General features: G+C 38.4%; 1 protein-coding gene across 31 annotated transcripts in view; it reads right to left on the bottom strand.

The window, feature by feature from the left end:
• ESR1 (estrogen receptor 1) overlaps nucleotides 1-24,215 on the bottom strand; it is a 472,948-nt gene that overhangs the window by 236,214 nt on the left and 212,519 nt on the right. For 30 of the 31 annotated variants that reach the window (XM_047418290.1, XM_017010377.2, NM_001385568.1 and 27 more), the window contains one exon: nucleotides 12,635-12,751. In XM_047418290.1, coding sequence (XP_047274246.1) covers nucleotides 12,635-12,751 — 117 coding nt within the window. The remainder of the gene's footprint in view (nucleotides 1-12,634; nucleotides 12,752-24,215) is intronic. The other variant, NM_001291241.2, reaches the window with a different exon arrangement.

Raw genomic sequence — 24,215 nt, 5'->3', positions numbered from 1 at the left:
ATAAACTAAACCATGTATTATCTCCAGGCATGACCAGAACATTTCTTTTCTTTTTTTGAGATGGAGTCTAGCTCTGTTACCCAGGCTGGAGTGCAATGGTGCCATCTTAACTCACTGTAACCTCCACCTCCTGGGTTCAAGCAATTTCCCTGCCTCAGCCTCCTGAGTAGCTGGGATTACAGGCGCTCCCCGCCATGCCTGGCTAATTTTTTTTTGAGACAGAGTCTTGCTCTGTCGCCCAGTCTGGAGTGCAGTGGCACGATCTTGGCTCACTGCAAGCTCCGCCTCCCAGGTTCACGCCATTCTCCTGCCTCAGTATCCCGAGTAGCTGCGACTACAGGCGCCCGCCACCATGCCCGGCTAATTTTTTTATATTTTTAGTAGAGACGGGGTTTCACCATGTTAGCCAGGCTGCTCTGGAACTTCTGATCTCAAGTGATCCACCCAGCTCGGCCTCCCAAAGTGCTGGGATTACAGGCGTGAGCCATCATGCCCAGCCAATGAGAACATTTCTTTATAAACAACTCCCTCTGCTCTTCATCATAGGATGTCTCTTAAGGCTGACATATATTTCTGTAATTTCCAAAAAGACTGGCCTCAAGTGTGTTGGTTTATACCTACTGGATAAGTTTTCAAGCAGACATAACCAGACTAGCCTATGCGATATTTAATCAGGAACTTTCCAAAATTCATTATCTTTTTTGGCCTCTTCCTTTCTCTTTCCACAAGGCAGAAACTAGAAAGTCTCACCAGCTCTTGGGATTCCAGTCTTAGTCATGATTATTACATCTCTAACAGAAAAAAAAAAAAAAAAAAGCTTAGTTATCTTTTCAGAGTCCTGCCTCAACAAACTTGATTTTTGAATTTTTTCTTTTATGTTGCTGGTGATTTATAGCAATATATGGCCATCTTCTCATTTCACTATCATGAAAGCATCAAACTCATTTTTGTGACTCTCCATTCAGAAGAGATTCACTTTCCACAATGACTAGTGAAGACAATAACTCTGCCCATTCCTACCGGTTTTTACAGTTGCCCGCAGTTGTTCTAAATTGAGCTTGAAATGTAAATATGATAGCTGCGGCAGTTGCTCCCAACCCCCAATATACACTTGTATATACTACCTTTAGCTTTGGATTCTAACCATTCCATTGTTAATCTGAACTTAGATCATAAAACATAAAATTTAAGATTTGAAACATACTTCAGCTGGCATTTTTCAGAAGTAAAAACTGAGTGAAGAAAAAGTATGTGATCTGCCCAAGGTTCCTAGGTAGTAGGTAAAGAGTCAAGTTTAATTGCACGCTTGGCCCTTAGCTGGGACTCCTATTTGACAAAATGATGTTTTTATATACCAGAATGGGCATTTTAAAACAAAATCAGACTTTCAAAAATAGAATTATCTAAAAACAATTAAAACCTTGGCTGAAAGATAAAAATGCCCCTTTTAAATTATATTAAATATTAAATAATATTAGGTAATTAAATCTTAAGTAGGTCTTTTTAAAGTATCTGTGACACCGTCTATATAAATTTATTTTGGTACTTCTGCTGTGCAACTAAGCCAACATATGATTGATGTTTTTGTTGAAGAGGAGTAATATCCTGTGCCCACCGTAACATTTCCTAAGTCACAGTTTTGGTTTATGGGATATTAATATCTTACTCATGCATATGTCTATCTCTCATGACACTTTATGTTACTAACAGGTCAGCCAGGCAGACGCATAACAATGAAAGGAGCATTAAACCATGGGTCAGGAGACTTGGTTTCCTGTCTGAGCAGTTAACTTAGCTTAGTGATTTGGACAAGAACAATCCAACTGAAAAACAAAAAGGTGCACTAGATGATCTTTAAGTTCTTTTCAGCTCTAAAAACTACCCATTAGCCTGATCACAACCACTGAAACAAACAAAAAAAAGCATATGGAAATTCCTGGGGACTTACAGAATTTTAAAGTAGCAATTCATTCATATAATTACTGCCCCAAAGTTCTGCATTTTATAGGTTCTATCTACGGAAAAAGTCCTTACATCATATCAAGAATCATTTATTTTTGCAAAAGAAAATTGTACAAACAAGATAAACCCTTTCTGAAATTTTTGCCTGGCCTTGAGTCACTGCCAGCATTTCTTGTAACATTCAAGGTAAGGTGAGACGTGGTCATTCCTGAAAAGGTACATAAAGATACCTCAGTTTTCTTCTGATAGGAATCAAAATTATCTCTAAATAAGCAATCAAATAAATTGAGTATTAAAAAATTAATCAAAGTTATGTTATAAACAGTTGAACATAGCCTGGTATAACTATAAGATCTTTTATGTAAGCCTTATGGTAATCACAAAGCAAAATCCTGTAGCAAATATACAAAAGGCAAAAAGTAAGAATTCAAAGGATACCACTATAGAAAATCGCCTAATCACAAAGGAAGACAGCAAGATAGGAAGAAAGAGATACAGTGAGTAAATGGATTTAAAAAAACAAGACCCTGTTATATGATGTCTAGAAGAGATTCAATGCATGGTTAAGAAAACACAGAGAATGAAGGCGAAGGGACCAAAAAAGGCATTCTATGAAAATAGAAGCCAAAAGAAAGCAGAGACAGCTATATTTATATCAAATAAAATAGGCTTTAAGTCACAAACTATAAAATAAGACAAAGAAGGCCATTAAATAATGACAAGAGGGTCAATTCATTAAGAGGATATAACAGGTGAACATACATATGCACCCAACATTGGAGTACCTAAATGAATGAAACAAATATTAATTGATATGAAAGGGAAGATAGACTGTAATACAATAATATTGGGGAACTCAGTACCCCACTTTTAGCAATGGACAGATTATTCGGACAGAAAATCAATAATGAAAGTTCAAACTTAAACTATACTTTAGCACAGATGGACTTAACAGATACATACAGAATATTTCATCCAACAGCAACAGAACACACATTCTTCTCAAATACACATGGAACATTATCCACTGAATGTTAGATAAAACAGTATAGATCATGGCCTGGCACGGTGGCTCACTCCTGTAATCCCAGCACTTTGGGAGGCTAAGGTGGGCAGATCATTTGAAGTCAGGAGTTTGAGAGCAGCCTGACCCAAATGGTGAAACCCCATCTCTACTAAAAAATACAAAAAGTTAGCCAGGCATGGCGGTGTGCTCCTGTATTCCCAGCTGCTCGGGAGGCTGAGGTATGAGAATAGCTTGAACCCAGGAGGCGGAGGTTGCAGTCAACCAAGATTGAGCCAGTGCACTCCAGCCTGGGCAACACAGTGAGACTCTGTCTCAAAAAAAAAAAAAGAAAAAAAACAGTATAGTTCATATGTTAGGACACAAAATAAGTCTTAATAAATTTAAGAACATTGACACCATATCAAGTATTTTTTCCAACCATAAATAATATGAAACTATAAATCAACAAGAATAATTTTGGAAAATTCACAAATACTTGAAAATAAAACAACATACTCAGAACCAACCAGTGGGTCAAAGAAGAAATAAAAAGAAAAGTTGAAAAATATCTTGAAACAAATGAAAATGGACACACAACATACCAAAATTTGTGGGATGCAGCAAGAGTATTTTCAAGAGGGAAGTTTATAGCAATAAATGTCTTCATCAAAGAAGAAGATCTCAAACAATCTAATGTTATACCACAAATAACTAGAAAAATAAAAATAAACTAAGCCCCAAGTTAGTAGAAGGAAGAAAATAATAAAGATCGGAGGAAAAATAAATAAAATTGAGACTAAAAACACAAAACAAAAGATCAGTGAAACTACGAATTTGTTTTTAAAAAGATAAACAAAATTGATTAACCTTTAACTAGACTAAGAAAAAAAGTGAGAAGACACAAATAAACTGAATCAGAAATAAAAGAGGAGACATTACAACTGATAGCACAGAAATGCAAAAAATTATAAGAGTACTATGATGAATTACACACCAACAACTTGGATAACTTGGAATAAATGGATAAAGTCTTAGACACATAAACCTAGCAAGTCTGAATCATGAAGAAATAGAAAGTCTGACCAGACCAATAGCTAGAAAGAAGACTGAATCAGCAATAAAAAGTCCTCTATGGAAGAAAAGCCCAGGACCTAATGGGCTTTATTGCTGAACTCTACCAAATATTTAAAGAACTAATACCAATCCTCAAACTCTTCCCAAAAATTGAAGAGGAGGGAATACTTCCAAACTCATTTTACAAGGCCAGCATTACTGTGATACTAAAGCCAGACAAGGGTATTACAAGAAAATTAAATGTCATGCCAATATCCCTGATGAATATAGATGCAAAAATCCACAACAAAATACTAGCAAAATTGATTGTCATGACATGAAAAAGAATCATTCACCATGATCGAGTGGGATTTGCCCAGGGATGCAACGATGGTTCAACATATGCAAATCTATAACTATGGTACACACATTAACAGAATGAAGGACAAAAACCATACAATCATCTCAATAGAGGAAAAAATGCATTTGACAAAATTCAAAATCCTTTCATATCAAAAACTCTCAACAAATTAAATATAGAAAGAGTGTACCTCAACACAATAAAGGCCATATATGACAAGCCTACAGCTAACATCATACTCAATGGTGAAAATTTGAAAAGTCTTCCCCTAAGATCAATAACAAGACAAGGATGCCCACTCTCACCACTTCTATTCAACATAGTACTGAGAGTTCCTGCCAGAGCAATTATGCAAGAAAAAAAATAAAGGCATGCAAATTGAAAAAGAAGAAGTTAAATTGCCCGTGTTTGCTGATGACATGATCTTACACATAGATCATGTAAGTATAGACTCCACACAAAAAACTATTAGAACTAATAAACAAATTCAGTAAAGTTTCAGAAGAGAAAATCAACATACAGAAATCAGTAGTGTTTCTATACACTAACAGCAAACTATCCAAAAAAAGAAATCAAGAAGAAATTTCATTTATAATAGCTATAAAAATAAAACAAAATATTTGGGAATAAATTTAACCAAGGAAGTGAAAGAATTGTATGCTAAAAGCTATAGACATCAATAAAAGAAACTGAAGAAGACACAAATAAATGGAAAGATATACCATACATAGACTGGAAGAATTAATATTGTTAAAAATATCCATATGACACAAATCAATCTACAGATTCAATGCAATGCCTATCAAAATTGCAATGACATTTTTTACAAAAGTGGAAAAACAATCCAAAAATTTGTATGGAACCACAAAAAAACCCTGAATAGCCAAAACAATCTGGAGCTAGAAGAACAAAGCTAGAGGCATAACACTACCTGACTCAAAATATACTATAAAGCTATAGTAATTAAAACAGCATGTATTGACCAATGGAACAGAATAGAGAACCCAGAAATAAATTCATTCATTTAGAGCCAATTAATTTTTGACAAAGCTGCTAAAAGCACACAATGGAGAAAGGACAGTTTCTTTGATAAATGTTTCTAGAGAAACTGGATATCTACACACCGAACAATGAAATTGGACACTTATCTCATGCCGTATACAAAAATCAACTCAACCTGGATTAAAGACTTAAATGTTAGACCTGAAACTGTAAAAACTACTAGGAAAAAAAAAACCAGCTTAAGAACATGGTCCTTATAGGGATTGTTGTGCTGCCTACACTCATGCTTCCTCCAGCTGAACTGACAGTCACAGAGGCTGACCTGCCTTCATCCCTAATAGGTAATGGAGGGCCTTGATTTTCATACCTAGAGGATGAAGGAGTTAGATTAGATCAGTGGCTTGCAAACTGTGTTCCTTGGAGCCCTAGGGTTCTAAGAAGGTTTCTCATGAACATCATAATGAATAAAGAGAGGGTATGCCAAATCAACTTTTATCTGTTTCATAGATGACGATCTGCTTCTGCTTGTGGAAACCAGAGCTTGATTGATATAAAATACTGTCAAACATTGGATTCATTAGTCTTTAAGGTCCATATGTGATTCACTTACTTGATTCAGTATATTTGTTTGCAAATAAAAAATTATAATATGGGGAGTTTTTAATAAATATCTATTATATGAATTAATAAAATAATAGTTTCAATATCATAAATATATAGATTAGATTACTGCTTAAAACAACCAGTCTCTCTTTGGTAAAGAGCAGCTAGCTTTTCTTTAACATTTTTCTTAAATTCAATCCTAAATAGGAGCACCCCAACCTACCTTTTGAGGAAACTTGGATTCACATGCAGCTACAAATCTTCCACAATTATTCGGCAATCCAAAAAAAGTAATTCACATCTACATTTTTAATTTATTAATTTGATTCTACCATCATGAACATTAATAATTGGTTGTATACTTTTTTTTTTTTTTTTGAGATGGAGTCTCATTCCGTCACCCAGGCTGGAGTGCAGTGGTGTGATTTTGGCCTACTGCAACCTCCGTCTCCTGAGTTCAAGCAATTCTCCTGCCTCAGGCTCCCAAATAGCTGGGATTACAGGTGGGCACAACTACACCCAGCTAATTTTTGTATCCTTAGTAGAGACGAGGTTATACCATGTTGGTCAGGCTGGTCTCAAACTCCTGATCTCAGGTGATCCACCCGCCTCGGCCTCCCAAAATGCTGGGATTACAGGTGTGAGCCACCATGGCCAGCCGGTTGTTTACTTTTGATAAAGGATAGCCAATGTAGGATTAAAGAGGATTCCAATCGCAGTCCCCAGGTTGGGAGTTTATCCATCAATAAAGCAAATTACGATAACTCATAGTGATAAATATTAAACCCAAGCAACAGGAAAATATTTTATTTTCCAGTGTTTCATTGGGCTTCTGAATCATTCTGGACACATGTATATTTCCCTGTCTATATTAGTAGTATGTTATTTTCTCACTTTAAAATTATCCCGTTAATTTTTGGATTTATTTGTTATTTTGGAATATTTCTAAAAATTATACTGCAACATTTGTTATTAAAATAAATAAAGACTAGTTGACAATTACTACTTTATCTCAAATTTCTTCTTAATGTGTTATAAGGAAACATAACCAGAATAGTCAGTCCAAGAGTCCTGCACATCAATTGATTTCTATGTGCCAATTTCCTCACTGCACAATGAAAACCTTGCCTCAAACACGCCTCTGAATCTATGGTAAGAAAAAACCTTTCACAAATTCGTGTAAATCTCTGGCATCATAAAATGATAAATAACACATCTCACTTGTCATTCAGCTATATTCAGCATATGAGATCAGAAAAGAAAAAAAAGCTTAGGTGTTTAAGCCAAGTTTTTATTCTCCACAAAGAAATTAGAAATTTATATCTTGTAGAAGTGATGAAATTGCCATTCTCTTTCTTTCAGCTGAAAAAAAAAACCCAGCAGTGCTCGTATATGATGAAATTTTTAACTAAGATAGTAATTATTTTTAAGACAAAAAAGATATGTAATAGCTAACACTTGTGTGGCACTTTAGATTTATATTTTCCCATGTTACGATTTGTCATCTTCATGACAAACTCATTAAGTAAAATTTATTTATTTGTTTATTTATATATTTATTTTTGAGACAGAGTCTCACTCTGTTGCCCAGGCTGGAATGCAGTGGTGCAATCTCGGCTCACTGCAACCTGTGCCTACTGGGTTCAAGTGATTCTCCTGCCTCCTCCTCCTGAGTAGCTGGGATTACAGGCTTCTGCCATCACACCTGGCTAATTTTGTAGAGACGAGGTTTCACCTTGTTGGCCAGGCTGGTCTTGAACTCCTGACCTCAGGTGATCCGCCCACCTCAGCCTCCCAAAGTGCTGGGATTACAGGCGTAAGCCACCGTGCTTGGACAATAAAATTTATTTATCTCCATTTCATATTTGAAATTAGTGAAGCTCATAAAAGTGACTTTAACAAGGTTGTTCAGCAAGTTTGAGGAGGAGCCAGCATTTGAACACATTTATCTTTGGAAGAGTTCCTCTTTCTACCAAACTCAGCAAAAAGGCCACATTCTTGAGTAATAATATATGTCTTGGATGTCAGGTGTCTGAGTAATACTCTGAGTTGGACTAAACCTGGGAGTGGTTGTTTAAAGCTCTAGACTCCCATTCTGATCATTCAATATTTGAGCCATCTTGCAACCCAGTCTCCACTTGCCGTTGAGATTTTTATTTGCCGCTTCCCATGCAAATGTTCTCTTTATACTGTGAGGACATTGAGGGAAGGGACTACAATCTTATTCATATTTGCTTTATTCCCAAGGGTTTGCATATAAGAAGCCCTACACAAATAACTATTTAAATGAATTGAATCAATTCATTAATTAGTGCAAAAAAATACTTCTTGAACACCTACCTTGTGACTTGTTTCATGCAAGATCGGTAAACAAGACACAGAGACCCCCCACCCCCGCGCCATCATGGAGTTTATGGACCATATGTAAAGACAGACATTGAATGACTAATAATAATGGTGATAAGAGCTAAGAGAAGAGCTGTTTGCCATTAAAGCTAGAACATGAATTTTCCAGCACCTTGATTTTGAACTTCGAGCCTCAGGAACTGTCAGGTAACTGTGTAGGCCTTCCTGAAGAAGAGACATGTAATCTACAACCTAAAGTTCAAGAGGAAGGAGACAAATGAAGAGGAAAAAGCAATGCAGAGAAACCAGCACATGTACTAGGATAGAAAAGCACATTCCCGAAAGTGCAATTCAAATCCTGCATCTTATAGAACTACCATGATTCAGAACCAAATCTAATAATGATGCTGGGATTTTCAGAGGCAGTAAGTATTATAACAGATTAAAATTGTTAGTTCATGGAGACAAATCATGCACTCTTTTGGATCTTTACAATAGATCTTCAGTGAATTTTTTCAGCCTTGCTATGAAAATAGGGAGTAGGTCTGTGGTTCTCTTTTAACTGAAACTAAACTTTTTATTTCATAGGTAGAGTTTCAATATCCTAGTTGGTAACCAGCCTGGTTAAGAAAGTGGATTGTTGTGAACCCTAATGGTTGAAAACATGTTGTAAAGATTTATTCAGTCACAGCTGGCCTTTGCCATGTGACTGCACATTTTATAGTTAGTTATCATTGTACTTCCAGTTGTAAATTAAGGCTTTATTCAATGGGATTTTTCAAGGAGTTGTTATAGAGGGTATCCTGTGGCCATGTGTGGTATTCCATGTTGTAGAAAATACAATAAATTATATTGATTTATGGCAAGTACTTTATACATATCATTAAAATAAGATGTTCTCACGGGCTATAATTTTATGAATTTAAAGCTTCATTTAAAACTTATGTACATATAAAAACTGCCAGAAAGATACATGTTTTCCTTACATGTAAAGAAATACTGAACAATCACTGAGTAACCCCTATGGGATATTGCCACATACTGAATTGTGTACCCTTAAAACTCATATGTTGAAATCTTACCCCCTGGGCCTCAGAATGTGACTGTATTTGGAAATTGTACCTTAAGTGAGGTGATTAAGATTCAATGAGGTCCTGTGTGTGGGGCCCTAATCCGATATGACTGGTGTCTTCGTAAGAAGAAGAAGAAGCTGTGGATGCCCCGAGAAAAGGCCATGTGGGGACACAGAGAGAAGGCAGCCATCTTCAAGCCAAGGAGAGAGGCCTCGGGAAAAATCAAACCTGCCAACACCTTAGTCTCAGACTTCAGCCTCCAGAGCTATGAGGCAATTGACTTCCGTTACTTAAGCCACCCAGTCTATGGTATTTTGGGAGGGCAGCCTGTTATGAACTGTGTCCCCACAAAACTTGTATGTTGAAGCCCTAGCCCCTGGTATGACTATATTTGGAAATAGGGCCTTTTTGGCGGTAACTAAGGTTAAATGAGGTCATAAGGGTGGACTCCTAATCCAACAGGGCTTGTGAGAAGAGAAAGAGATACCAAGAGTGCTCGGACGCAGAGGAAAGGCCATGTGAGGACACAGGCAGAAGACGGCTAGCCACAAGCCTAGAAGAGAGGCCTCACAGGCCGGGCATGGTGGCTCACGCCTATAATCCCAGCACTTTAGGAAGCCGAGGTGGGCGGATCACCTGAGGTCAAGAGTTCAAGACCAGCCTGGCCAACATAGAGTGAAACTCCGTCTCTACAAAAAAAAAAAACACAAAAATTAGCTGGGTATGGTGGCACACACCTGTAGTCCCAGCTACTTGGGAAGTTGAAGCAGGAGAATCGCCTGAACCTGGGAGGTGAAGGTTTCAGTGAGCTGAGATAGTGCCACTGCACTCCATCCTGGCCAACAGAGCAAGACTCCATCTCTCAAAAAAAAAAAAGGGAGGGCTCACTAGAAACCAAATATTCCAGCACTTTGATTATGCATGTCCAGCTTCCAGAATTGGGAGAAAATTAATTTCCGTTGTTTAAGCCACCCAGCCTGTGGTATTTCATTATGGCAGCCCTAGAAAACTAATACAGATATATATTTTACAGTCATCAATATACATGTGCAAGTGTGTATGGAGCCATCCACAGTCTGTTGTGTACAGTCAAATTATCTAGATTCCTAGGAGAAAACAGTGGGGAGACTTTTATTATGTCTTTGCATATATGAATTTTTGTTAGATTAAAAATGAGAATGCGTAATTTATATTCATGCAGCCAGACCGTATCTGGATATTAATTACAAAAAAAAAAACAGAATCGGTTTTATGAAATGGGGTCAATGCATGGGTACCCCTCACATTTTAAAAATTGTTTTGGACATATTCATGACTTGATTATTTCAGCTTTCAAGGAGAATGTATGGAAGAGCCTGTGCTTAACCTACATATAATCGCCAAAGAAGAATATTAAACCTCGACTCCACTGTTTCAAATAAAGCTTTTCTTATGCAGCTGTTATATTCCTGTCACTTACCAAGTTACCTTAAGACGCATTTTGTAAGTTTAATTAAGCCTGACTAATTCTCCAACAGTACAAAGAAAGATGAATTCCTTAAATATTTAATCCATATGACTCAAGTGTCATTTTCTGAATGTAGCTGTTAAATTCTTGGAATTAATTACCCTTTGAATTAAAGCTGCTTTTTCAGATGTTCAAGATGTATAGTCATAGTCACAGCTCACAGAATGCGTAAATTCAACATTGCATCTCTTCACCAGGAGAATTTATTCCAAATGCTGCATTCCAAACCTCAACCTGTCTGGCGTATTTATGACCCCGGGACTATGAAACCTGTCACTGTAAGCTTGTTAACAATCAAGCTTGTCTTCATCATAATCTCCATTCTTGGTCTTTCCTCTCCTTCCTCCTGCGTCCCAGTAAGAATGATTTAAAGGTTAGCTGCCCACTATTTGCAAAATCACTATTCCTTTTCATTGAAATTTTGTTCTCCTTAAATCACCCCAAGCTTCACCTCCTTCAGAAAAGAAACGGGCTTTTCCCTATTACAATCAGCAGGTAGCACCATCATCAGCCCTTCCCTCCCTTCAGTATCCTTCTGAAACACTAAATGAATCCGTTACTTTATTTATTTATTTATTTATTTATTTATTTATTTATTTATTTATTTATTGAGACAGAGTCTCACTCTATCACCCAGGCTGGAGTGCAGTGGCGCCATCTCAGTTCACTGCCCCCTCCACCTGCCAGGTTCAAGTGATTCTCCTGCCTCCACCTCCCAAGTAGCTGGGCCTACTGGCACTCGCCACCATACCCAGCTAATTTTTGTATTTTCAATAGAGACAGGGTTTCACCTTGTTGGCCAAGCTGGTCTCGAACTCCTGACCTCAGATGATCTGCCCACCTCAGCCTCATGACTTTATTTTAATTACACATTTTCTACTTGTTCTCTTCCACTACACTGAAGGCTATCCAAGACTAGAAGCAATGTTCCTCAAGATGAGACTCCCAAGAATACAATGAGGTCAATCAGGCAACCACATTTATGGGGCTCCTAATATTCCCAGAACTGGGATTCAGTTTCCAGATTCCTGTATGACAAAACTGGAAGATCGGATACATGAGAAGACAGAAAACCACACACACACACAGCCACAAAGACCACAAAAACACAAACCCACAGTCACAAACCATGCATGCTCTGACACTTGTTAGTGTAGTGCTCAGTAATCAACTATGCCAGCACCATGCTAGACACTGAGGTTAAGAAAGTGGCTGGTTCACTCAGGTTCTAAAGGAGAAAACTGCCTTTTGATTGAAATTCACATTCCTTAAGGGATGATAACAGACTGGAAGGCTATAAATTAGCTACTCAGCTTTCACATTTACAAGTCTCAATTTAGGGAAAGTTTATCCTCAGATATCATTTTCTAGCATTTGCAACATAAACAGTAACTGAAAAATATTTCTAGAATAATTTACTAAGCACTCTTCGTTTCCTTCCATCACCGCCTCCCACACACCTTTGATTTAAAATATAATTATTTACATTGAAAATCCAAAACACAAAATGCCATGTTAGAATTTCCAGTTCCAGACACTTCCACCTTTTTAAAATAAAATGGATTATGAAAATACTTTTGTTGCAAAGAAAAATAAGAATAGAAAAAAAACAATTAAAAGAAAAAAACACAAAATTCCCATGGTGTTATTCCAATGGGTAGAGCCAGCACTGGGCGGTGGCCAGGGCCATCCCCAAGGGCCCCTGGGAGAGATGTACCTACCACCTTTCATCATTCCCACTTCGTAGCATTTACGGAGCCGGCAGGCCTGGCAGCTCTTCCTCCTGTTTTTATCAATGGTGCACTGGTTGGTGGCTGGACACATATAGTCGTTATGTCCTATTAAAAGCAAGAGGACAGAATTAATATTATTTCAGGAAACTTAGCCAGTCAGAATCTACAGGGAAACCTTTTGGAGGCTGTTTTCCTATCACTTCCTCAGCCTTACTATGTTGCTCCCCAGCCTGCCTGCCTTTTTCTGTCCTTCTTGAAGTGCAAACAAAACCTCTCATGGGCCGGGCACGGTGGCTCATGCCTGTAATCCCAGAACTTTGGGAGGCCGAGGCAGGTGGATCACGACGTCAGGAGTTCAAGACCAGCCTGACCAACATGGTGAAACCCCGTCTCTACTAAAAATACAAAAAAAACCTGGGTATGGTGGTGTACACCTGTAATCCCAGCTACTCAGGAAGCTGAGGCAGGAGAATCGCTTGAACCCGGGAGGCGGAGGTTGCAGTGAGCCGAGATTGCGCCACTGCACTCCAGCCTAGGCAACAGAGTGAGAATCCATCTCAAAAAAAAAAAAAAAAAAACAGAACAAAAAACCTCCCGTGGACTTAATTTCTACAGCAGCCAATTGCTTCAGGAGTCCTTTGGGCAAGTCACCTTCAGTTCACACAGTCTATATTTTGTAGCACCATATTTTATGTGGTTATATTTTCTCAGCAGATAAGGTTTTTTGGTTTTGGTTTGGTTTGGTTTGGTTTTACCAAGACTGCTTGCCAAAATTGTTGTGAGGGTAGAGCTTTTAGAAATAGAGTTTTCAGAGAGAGAGTTTCAAAGTAGCCCTTCTTAAAATATAATTTAAGTCGGTACTCACATGCAGCACAGAATACCTAAAGTCAAGCCGGCTTGGTGGGCTGGGTGGTGACGAAGTTCAGTCCTTCAGTTCACAAATTAGTCCATGACTGACTACCTGGAGAACTCTGAGCAAGCTACCTGACATTTCTAGATCTCTCTTTCCTCCTCGCTAATCTAGAGGAAATCATGGAACCCACCACATCCAACGATTCTAAGAATTGAATGTGAGAATGCAGGTTAGGAGTTTACCATAGTTCCCCGGATATAGAAAACACTCAAAAGATGTTCGTTGTTGTTACCGTTATTTTATGATGAACCCTCTTTCTTTTCTCTCTTGTTGATTGACTCTCTCTCCCTCAAATGCTCCTTACTCATTGGCTTTGATCACATGCGAGACTGTCCCATAAAAGAGTCTCCCTTGCCCCACATGCTCTCTAACTTCCATCTTCTATCTTATCCCTTGTTCCCAGCTGAACTCAGAAACGTCTGCACATGAAATCTCCTTTTCTTCACCTCTCTTGCATTGCTCAACCCACACCAATCTGTTTTCCACCTTAGTTACCCCAAAAAAGCAACTTCCCTAGGATTACCAATGAATCGCGTTGCCAAATTTTACAGGTATTTTTCAGTCCACATCCTACATAACCTATCTGAAGCAGCTTACAATGTTGATACCTCCCTTCCCGCTGTGAGACAGGCTTTTTCCCTTGGCTTCCATAATCCCAAACACCCCAGTTCCTTCTGCCTCTCAGGCTGCAGCCTCCCGGTATTGTTTACAGATTCAATTTCCTCCATCCAACATTAAGCCAGAGGTGCTCAGGGCTCAATCCTAGGTCTTCTTCTTCTCTTACTACTCCATATTCTCCCACAAGACAATCTAGTGCATGTCCATGGCTTCCATCATCACCAAATGCAGATCACTCAGAATGTACGCTCCCAACACAACCCTCTTCTCTGAGCTCCTGGTACATATGTCCAGCTGCCCACAGGAAGTTTCTGCTCTAAGATTTAGAAGTCACCTCCATCCCTTTATCCCTCAAAATAAATCTGGTTTATAGGGAGCAGAATATTAAAATTCACAAACTAATAAATATTGGCATGTTTTTATAAAGTCTGTCTGCATAAGTCTAAATTCTTACATATCTTGGGGAAATGTCCTGAATTTAGACTAAGGAAGTTATGTATACTATTGTAAAACATGGTTCTCATTCTCCCACCCCAAAACTGAATATATATTTCACACCCTAGTTCAGATTCTCTGCTTAAGTCTCTATTTTTTTCCATTTACTAAGGGCAAGATGCAACATGCAGTGAAATGTTTTAACTACAGAGCTCTTTGTTCTTTATTCAACTTAAGGGTCAGGCCCAATTAGAAGAGGGTGGAGTGAGGACTTGACAAGAAATGCTGGCCTCATAAAACTTGGCTTTCCATCTTTAAATATACATTATAAAAGTCACTGTATACACGGGCTTCAGATCAAATTAACATTTGCACTCTTCTATTGCATAACAGAAACCAGCAAACTAGTCAGCAGAGTTATAAACCTGTAACTTCAGTAAAAGACCACACACGGATTCAGATATCCAGACACAGTTATTATTTTTAGAATTGTCCTTATTAATAGGGTCAAACTGAAGAAGTAATAGAACCAGAAACAAAACTTATCTGTGCAGATGCTAACTGCAAGCAAAAAGTGTATTCTTCTGATACCCTAAAGAAACTTTCAGTGTTTAGTCTCCTGTGGTATTTATGCAGTATATGCTGATATATTTCAGCTTTTAACAAAAAATGAGTATATGGCCAGGTGTGGCAGCTCATGCCTATAATTCCAGTACTTCAGGAAGCTGAGGTGGGAGGATAGTTTGAGACCAGGAGTTTTAGACCAGCCTGGGCAACATAACAATATCTTGTCTCTACAAAAAAAAAAAATTAAATATTAGCCTGGCATGATGGCACATGCCTGTAATCCTAGCTACTCGGGAGGCTGAGACAGGAGAATCGCTTGAGCCCAGGAGGTCAAGGCTGCAGTGAGCTGTGATAGCACCACTGCACTCCAGCATGGACAACAGAGCGAGACCCTATCTCTAAAAAAAAAAGAATAAAATAAAAAATTAATTAGTATACATTAAGTTTCAGAAGAAAATAGTCAATAACCATTCAAACCAAATATTACTTTGACTCACTTTCTCCCCAGAGCCAGTTACTTTGTAAGCCAGAAGAAGACAGGAGAACTGAATTGGGTCAGAGACCAGTTGGCTGAGTCTCATGTTTGCACTGGCCATCCACTGTAGATATGTATCTTTGTAGAACCAAGTGAAATTCCTGAACTAACATGTTTAATGAATAAAAGGTACTAGATTTTTACAATTGAATTCGTCTCTTAACAAAAATGGAAATAGATGTACAACAGAATCATGTTCATACGGCAAACCTTTTGTGACAAAGCTAGAATTGATAAACTGACAAAAAGAAAAGTTTAATAAATACATATTTGATATATGCAATTAAAACAAATTCTTATTAACCAAACACTATTAACAACTATTTCTAAGTCTTCAGCTCACGTCAGAAGAAGAAAAACAACAAAGTAGTTTTTTTTCCTTAATGAGTGTAACTTGGTCAATATGTGTTATTAAAGCAATTGATTTAAGTTGCATTAAGATAGCATCGGGAGATATACCTAATGCTAGATGACGAGTTAGTGGGTGCAGCTCACCAGCATGGCACATGTATACATATGTAACTAACCTGCACAATGTGCACATGTACCCTAAAACTTAAAGTATAATAAAAAAAAAAGAAGAAATTCTTTTTAAATTTTATTATCTGGTCTTCTCAAGATAATGCTTGAGAAAATCTTACTGAAGTAGAGTTGATTTTCTAAAAAACAACTCACACCAGTTGTCTTAGTGAAACATAGCAGTGTGTGTGTGTGTGTTTTTTTTTAACTGAAAAGACAGGACTCGATGTATGTGACCAGACTGGCCCGAAAAGTCCTTCTGTGCAGGCCCGGATGAACCAAGCCCATAGGGCCAAAGCCACGATGTGATGTTCAGGTGAAGGTTTGGAAAAATAATCCGCACTATTTTCTTGCCCATCAAAAGATAAAAATAAAAAGCCTCTGGAGGAATCTAAGGTTTGACTGGCAGGAAGTGGAGGGGACAGGAGGTGAATGAGATGGAACCAGAAAGACAGGAAGCGGGGAGAGAAAACGCCTCTCAGTAGGAATCACCGGGCCCACCCCAGCCCCTGCAGCAACAGAAGGACCCACATTCAGCTTTTCCCCAAGCTTCCCTTGTTCTTTTTCCTTCTCTTCTGATTTTCCCTCCTTTGGTAGCAGCTGGTTTGGCTTTGTTGTCATTACACAGAAAGTCTGCATTTGTTAGTTGTGAAAATAAATAATGGCCCGTACATATGCAGAGATTCAAAAGGAATATAAAGACAGGCCAAGCAGTTGCCTGAGAGAAAGCCAATATAATATTGCAGGTCTCTCCTTTTGTCACCTCTTTTCCGTCAGTATTTTCTGGTGGTCACTTCAGATCAAATCTCTTTCCTGAGTTTCCTGAATGTCCACCTGCCCCTGTCCATCAAGACTTGACTCTCTCACACTCGTCAAGATGGATGTGCCCCAGACAGAACTGACGACTGTCTTCTTTCCTCGCCAGTCTGTTCCTATTCACTTCCCAGCTGAACCAAGAAATGTCTGCACGTGAAGCCTGAAACATGGGCATTATTCTAGATTCAATCTCCTTCCTCACTTGACCCTCCCTCCCCACCTCCCACCACAGGCACACAGATCAAAACAAATATTTTCTAATTATTTTTCAAAGCGAAACCAATTTTGCGCTGGGCACCACCATACCTTCTCCAGCCCAGATCATTACCACAGCCCACCGCAGGACCCTTTGCCTCCAGCCTTCCCCCGCCAATCCTTCCCCACAGGGTGGCCACAGTGATTTTTCCTAAAATCATACGCCATCAGGCCACTATCCTGCCTCAATGTCCTGAGGCTCCTCCAAGCTCTAAAAATGACATCTAAATGCAATGCCTTCACAGTTTGCAAAGCTCTTATGTTTTTCCTTGCCTTCTCTCCCCGCTCTAACTCCCATCCAAGCTCTGATCATGTCTTTCTGTTGACACATGCCATGCTTCTCACCCCCAGGACTTGGCACATGCTCTTCTTCTTCATGGAAACACACTTTTTCTCCTCTTGGCCCAACTGACTCCTACTCATCTTCTAAGTGTGCCAGTCAAGATGTCAGTTCCTCTGTGAAATCTTATCTGCCCTTCCAGCCATGCTTAGTTTGTGTCTCATCATAGGACTTACTATGTTGGGTTTTAACTGCTTGTCTCAATGCCCAGATCAGTTTAGGCATGGCAAGGGATGGGCCATATCTGTCTCATTTATGGCTATTGATCCTGAGCCCAGCGCATTCTCACACACATAGTGGAGCTCAACAAGTATCCAATATCTGAACAATACTGAGATGCTAAAGCTCCCCTCACCCCCAACTTCATTTGTGGAGCGCAGGCCTCCTGAGGGGGATGACTGGGGTTCTATAAAGGAAGTAATGAGTGGGAAGGTGAGGACCCTGAACAATATGATGGCCATTCTACCTCAGGACCCCAAAACTCAAATCCACAAGAACAAGGCTTGGTTCTAAGCAGGGGCAGTCTGCTCTTCAGCACTGGGTGAGGCCAGACATGAACATAAAGCAGATGTTCATAGATGAAGAGGGCCAGGAAGGGATCCATGAAGCCACGCATTGCTCATGAATTATCCTCACTACTCTTTCCGTTTTGAGGCCTTGCCTCTTTCCTAATATGACTGTATTTCATGATTGCCCCAAAGAAAAATCAACATATTCAAATTATTCCAAAGCTTGTTTTATATAGAAATGTTTTTCTGAATTAAAATGCCATTTTCCCCTGCTATAATACGTTGGTTATGGAGACATTTTAATATGGTTCATTTTACTAATAATGATTTGTTTTCATAGTGTGTTTTAACTTTTTAAAATTTCTATTCCAAGATTTTACTAAACTCTACAAGATTAGCAGTTTCCTTGAATCATCTCCCCATTCACCACCATCACCAGGAAACACTTTAGCTTTAAATAAAATAGGTCTATGGTATTATTTTCCTAGAAATAAAAATCCTTATAAATGAAGTATTAACAAGGCTGAAGAAAAGGCATATCTTGATCAAAGGGTTTCTTACATATAAACTACATAAACTGTCATGTAACTGACTGATTTTATGAGAAGCTGAAGTTCAGAGTACTCGTCTCCTGGCTTAACAGTTGAATATTAAGATACTACAAATATTTGCTTCCATCATAGCCTACAAATTTGAAGATCAATTTGTCCCAATAATGCAATTCTGTGCCATAAGTATGTGGTGTAGTTATTTTTCCTTTATCATAACTTCCTAACTTTATGGAGTCAGAAATCGTACTTGAATGGTTCTTTCCTGCTATTTCCATCTTGAATTGGCACATTTCAAAGTGCTCCACAAACTACAACACATCTAGGGATTTAATTTGTGACTAGAAAACTTCAAAATATATCACATCTATTCTTGCTTTATAATTTTTTAAATAAATGCATTCCCTAAAGAGATATACAGTACTCTGAAAAAAAATTAAAGTCAAGGAGACTTTCATAAGGTTAGATTAAAAGGCAAGTTATGTAAACCGGGAAAAGGTGTCGTCCCATTAAGGAATAAACACTTAGCATTCCTTATCAACATATACAAACATTTAGCTAACTGTTCATATTTTAAGGCTCAGAAATAAAAATGAATTCTAAAAGAAAAATGAATTCTCCAATGTTTAAGCACTCACACATCAAATAAGAGCCAATTTTAGCTAATCCTGCGAAAAAGCCTCATTGGAGGAGTCCGACAAAATAATATTTTATTTTCGAAGTCCTATTTTTTATACCCGATTGACCCATAAATGTAGCTAACATATATAAAGCTTGGCTACCTTTACAGTCTCCTTATTAAAGGCACTCATCGAATATTTACATAAAATTAACTATGGTTTATCACATTTTGAAGCATCCAGGAACTATAAATAATTTAAGTTGACAAGTAAGATGTCAAAATCTGACTTCCTTTCTACTTCTAAGCATCAGTATGTTTTCATAGAGTGTTAAATACAGCTTTAAATCTGATGTGAAATCACAAGTTTCTATACATATTTGGCCAAAGGAAAACCTATGACATTTTAGTTTTATCAGTGAAAGACTATATTATCCTTTAGGTGTTAAGGTACAGACAACATAGTTTTGAGCTGTAACATTTGGGAAAATAGTAAGAATCTGCACGTGAATTTTCAAAGCACTGTTATATAAACCAGCAACTGCCCAGGCCTGAGTAGACGCTTCCAAGAGCCGTTCCTGCTCTGGCTTGTTCATTTCACACTTGTGCTCACTTCCTATCTGGGGGTAATTCCATAAGCTTGTCTAGCCAAATATTCTCTCTACCAAGGAAACCGAGTCTTCTAGGTACTGAACATCACATGCCAGGAAGTGTGTTATACATTGATTGTTTCATTTAACCCCCTAGGAACTTTATGAGGAAGGAATTATATTAATCCTATTATACAGATGCAAAATTATAATTGAAGTTTAAAAGCCTGATTTAAGCCACACAGCAAGCAAGTGGCAGATGGGTTTTGAACCAAGGTCTCCTTTCATTCCAGAAGCTGAACTCTTATGCATTCTAACAACCTCCATATATGGAAAGCCCAGCTTCTCCAAAGGGCAAGCTCTTCATTCAAGAATGGTATCTACTTTCCAGATTGCAATCATGCAAGGAATCTCTGCAACTGTCTGACCACCAAGTGTTCCGCTTCTTAGGAAGCTCATGTATAGGAAAGAAAAAGTGAGGAATTAACACAGCCAACCCAATGTTACTGTCTTCTATTTAACATATCTACGAGACAAATACTTACTAAGACCACACCAAAATTAAGTTATTTGGGCAATACTTTGACTTATATGACAAGGATGAAATGCACAGTCCAACTCCCCAGCCACAACGGTACAAGGGAACAGAAGTCTTGTCCTGCCTTACACTCTGAGAAAGATATTGACTTTCTGCAGTACCTAGTGTCTGTATCTACCCCAGCCCTTGACTCCTGAGTGATGCTTTGTCTTGGTAGGACCACCCACATTATCTACTGTAACCAAAGCAAAGAGGGAGTATGGGAATAGCAGCATAGAATTAGAAAACAGGTTCAAACAATGATATCATTGGAACTCACTAAAAGCAAAAAGAAAAGGAAGACTGGCAAAGAATTTGTTATAGAAAGAAGAATTCAAAATGTTTTTACACAAAAGTGGGAATGTATGATTGTCATAAAACATGAAGGATTAAAAGTATTCACAGTTATGCCAAGGAAAAAAAATCATACCAAAACATCTACTAATCATCTTTGAGTAGCAAAGTAGATGAGGCAGAGAGAAGATGTGAAGAAGTTTTCAACAGCTTTGCCAAATAGTTAGGGCTAAAGGGAGGAGGAGGAGAAAGTCAAATATTCTAATAGATTGTGCCAGGATATTTTGAAAATTGTTCATACCATTAATCAAAAAAAAGATCTGAATTGGGACAGGGGTGGCAAGAAGTCGTATGGAACAATTTAAAACCTGTTGATATGAGATTTCCGTCATAAACTCAAAGCGACCTCCCAGCACGCTGTTGTAAATACAGTTCTGAAGCTTGGAAGTTGTGTCAAAATGAAGTGGGAGACCATGTTCCACTTCCAACAAGTGGAAAGCAATTCCACTTCCAACAATTCCGCTTTGAGGTGTAGACCCAAAATAATTGAAAGCAGAAACTCAAATAGATATTTTTATACCCATGTTCATAGCAAAATTACTCAGTATACCCACAAGATGGAAATCATCCAAATGTCCATCAACAGACAAATGGATAAATAAAGTGTGGTCTATCCATACAGTGGAGTATTATTCAGCCTTAAAAAGGAAGGAAACTCTGACACATGCTACAACATGAATGAATCATGAAGACATTATGCTAAGTGAAATAAGCCAGACACAAAAGGACAAATATCACATAGATGCACTTACATGACGTACCTAGAATAGTTAAACTCACAGAGACAGAAAGTAGAAGAGAGGTCAGCAGGAGATGTGGGGAAGGGGAACTTGGAGTCATTGTTTAATGAGCACAGAGCTGGCCGGGCACAGTGGCTCATGCCTGTAATCCCAGCATTTTGGGAGGCTGAGGCGGGCAGATCACCTGAGATCAGGAGTTAGAGACCAGCCTGCCCAACATAGCAAAACCCCGTCTCTACTAAAAATACAAAAACTTAGCTGGGTGTGGTGGTGGGCACCTGTAATCCCAGCTACTTGGGAGGCTGAGGCAGGAGAATCTCTTGAACCCAGGAAGCAGAGGTTGCAGTGAGCCGAGATTGCACCACTGCACTCCAGCCTGGGCGACTAGAGTGAAACTCCATCTCAAAAAATAAAATAAAATAAAAAATAAGTACAGAGCTTCACTTTGGGAGGATGAAAAGTTCCGGTTGCACAAAAATGTGAATGTACTCAATGCCACTGAACCGTACACTTAAAAATGATTAAAGTAGTAAATTTCATATTATGTATATCTTATCACAATTTTATTTTTATTTTTAATATATATATTTTTAAATTTCAATAGCTTTTGGGGTACAAGTGGTTTCTGCTTTCATGGATGAATTGTATAGTTTACCACAATTTTTTAAAATGAAGTTGAAGGCTGGGTGTGGAGGCCTGTTTTCCAGGCACTTTGGGAGGCTGAGGTGAGGGCATCACTTGAATCCAGGAGTTTGAGACCAGCCTGGGCAACATAGCAAGACCCCAGCTCTACAAAAGTTTTTAAATTAGCCAAGTGTGGTAGTGTGGTCCTGTCATCCCAGTTACTCAGGAGGCTGAGGTGGGAGGATCACTTGATCCTAGGAGGTCGAGGTTGCCCTGAGCTGTGGTTGTGCCACTGCACTTCAGCCTGGGGGACAGAGTGAGACCCTGCCTTAAAAAAAAAAAGAAGAAGAAGAAGAAGCTGAAGATGTAGGAAGCATCTACATGGGGTGGGTCAAGAATAGGAATAAAGTTGGCCTGTTCAGATTCCCTTCTGTGCACCATGCACTGGGCCAAGGACTGGGTAGCAGCAGAACCCACATGCTTCCCATGGACCAGGTGCTGGGCTAGGTGAACTCAGCATTTTGCCTCATCTAATCATCACAAGCAATGAGTTAGATTACCCTAGTTCCCATGTTACAGAAGCAGAAAATGAGACTCCAAGAAGTTGACTCACTTGTTCAAGTTCTCTTGGCTAGCAGATGGCAAAGCCATGATTAAATCCAGGTCTGTCGCATTCACAAGTCTTTCAGGAGTGCCATGGTAGGGTTGGTGAAATAAAAAGAACTTGACGATGACTGAACAAGAGCACCTAAATATTAAGTTATATTTTAAACTATAATAAAAATATTATTCCCTGATGGAATTACTATATGGTATCATTGGGAGGGCATTTCAGAAGCAGTAATAAAACTATTTCCAGAACCCATGATTCCTAACACTTCCATAGTTATATCTCCCAAAATATGAAAGAGTAACCCAAAAAAAGTATTCATCAGTAGATTATGGCATATGCAAATCTTTCTGGAAAACCTTTCCACATACTCCAGAATAAAATAAAGAAAAAAAGAAAAAGTAGAAAGCAACGTATTAAGGAAATAAATAAGAAATTTATATTCTGTGACAGAACAACTGCAGTATTATGTTTGGAAATAAATTTTGACTCACATATTAAAGTGAATATCTCCAATTTACAGCCAATGCAATGAGCCAAAGAAAATGAAATAGGATTTGGCTGTCTCAGTGAACACATTCCTAAAAATCCAGTGAGGACATTCAATGTGCCATGATTTGAACTATTTCACAACCACATCTGTACACAATGGCATGCAAATAAAAATGGCATGCCTTAATAATGCATCCCAAATTATATTTTTACAGCTAGTCAGTTCTAGTTAATCTTGTCAGTGACAACCACCACCTCCAAGAGACATCTTACTTTTATTATTTAAAAGGAAGAAAAATATATTATTTGCATCTAAGTAAATTTTCAAAGAAAAAAAATTTTTAAAAAAGGAATTCTAGGAAAGAAATTTGTCCTGGAAAGTTTCTTTTTCTAAATAACACAAAGTGAAGAGGAAAGCCTCTATCTATTTGCCCTCACTAGACCCCAGTCTGTTGAAATTTTGGCCAGGGCAGTGACATGATCCCTTTTTTTGTCCAACCTCTAACTTACCATCTGCAAAACCACAATTGTTTTAAGCACCTGGCAAAGGATCAAACCAACAGCTGCAATAAAGGAAAACATAATGAAATCAGTGACCACCATCTCATTGTAATACCTCAGGGACAATGAACCGCTTTCAGTAATGCTTCTCAGGGCTCATCAAATAAGCAAGTGCTATTCTACAGTCCAGAAAAGGACTTTCTGAAATTGTTCCTTCTGGGACAACAGATAACCATCAAAGAGGAGAGAATTGTGACGACTGGTGTGATTACTTCAATGCCATGCAGCATTCAGCTCACCTGTAGACCCCTCTCCTTCACTCTGTTCGATTATTTCCAGAGAATTATCCAAGCTTTCCTCCCACTTGTACTCATTTGAAATCTAAACTATGGTGTCCAAAGTAGTAG

The sequence above is a fragment of the Homo sapiens genome, chromosome 6 (assembly GCF_000001405.40).
Source record: "Homo sapiens chromosome 6, GRCh38.p14 Primary Assembly".
In the NCBI taxonomy this organism is placed as follows: domain Eukaryota; kingdom Metazoa; phylum Chordata; class Mammalia; order Primates; family Hominidae; genus Homo; species Homo sapiens.
Note: the sequence above shows the minus strand (reverse complement) of the source record. Positions and strands in the feature narration are given on the sequence as shown.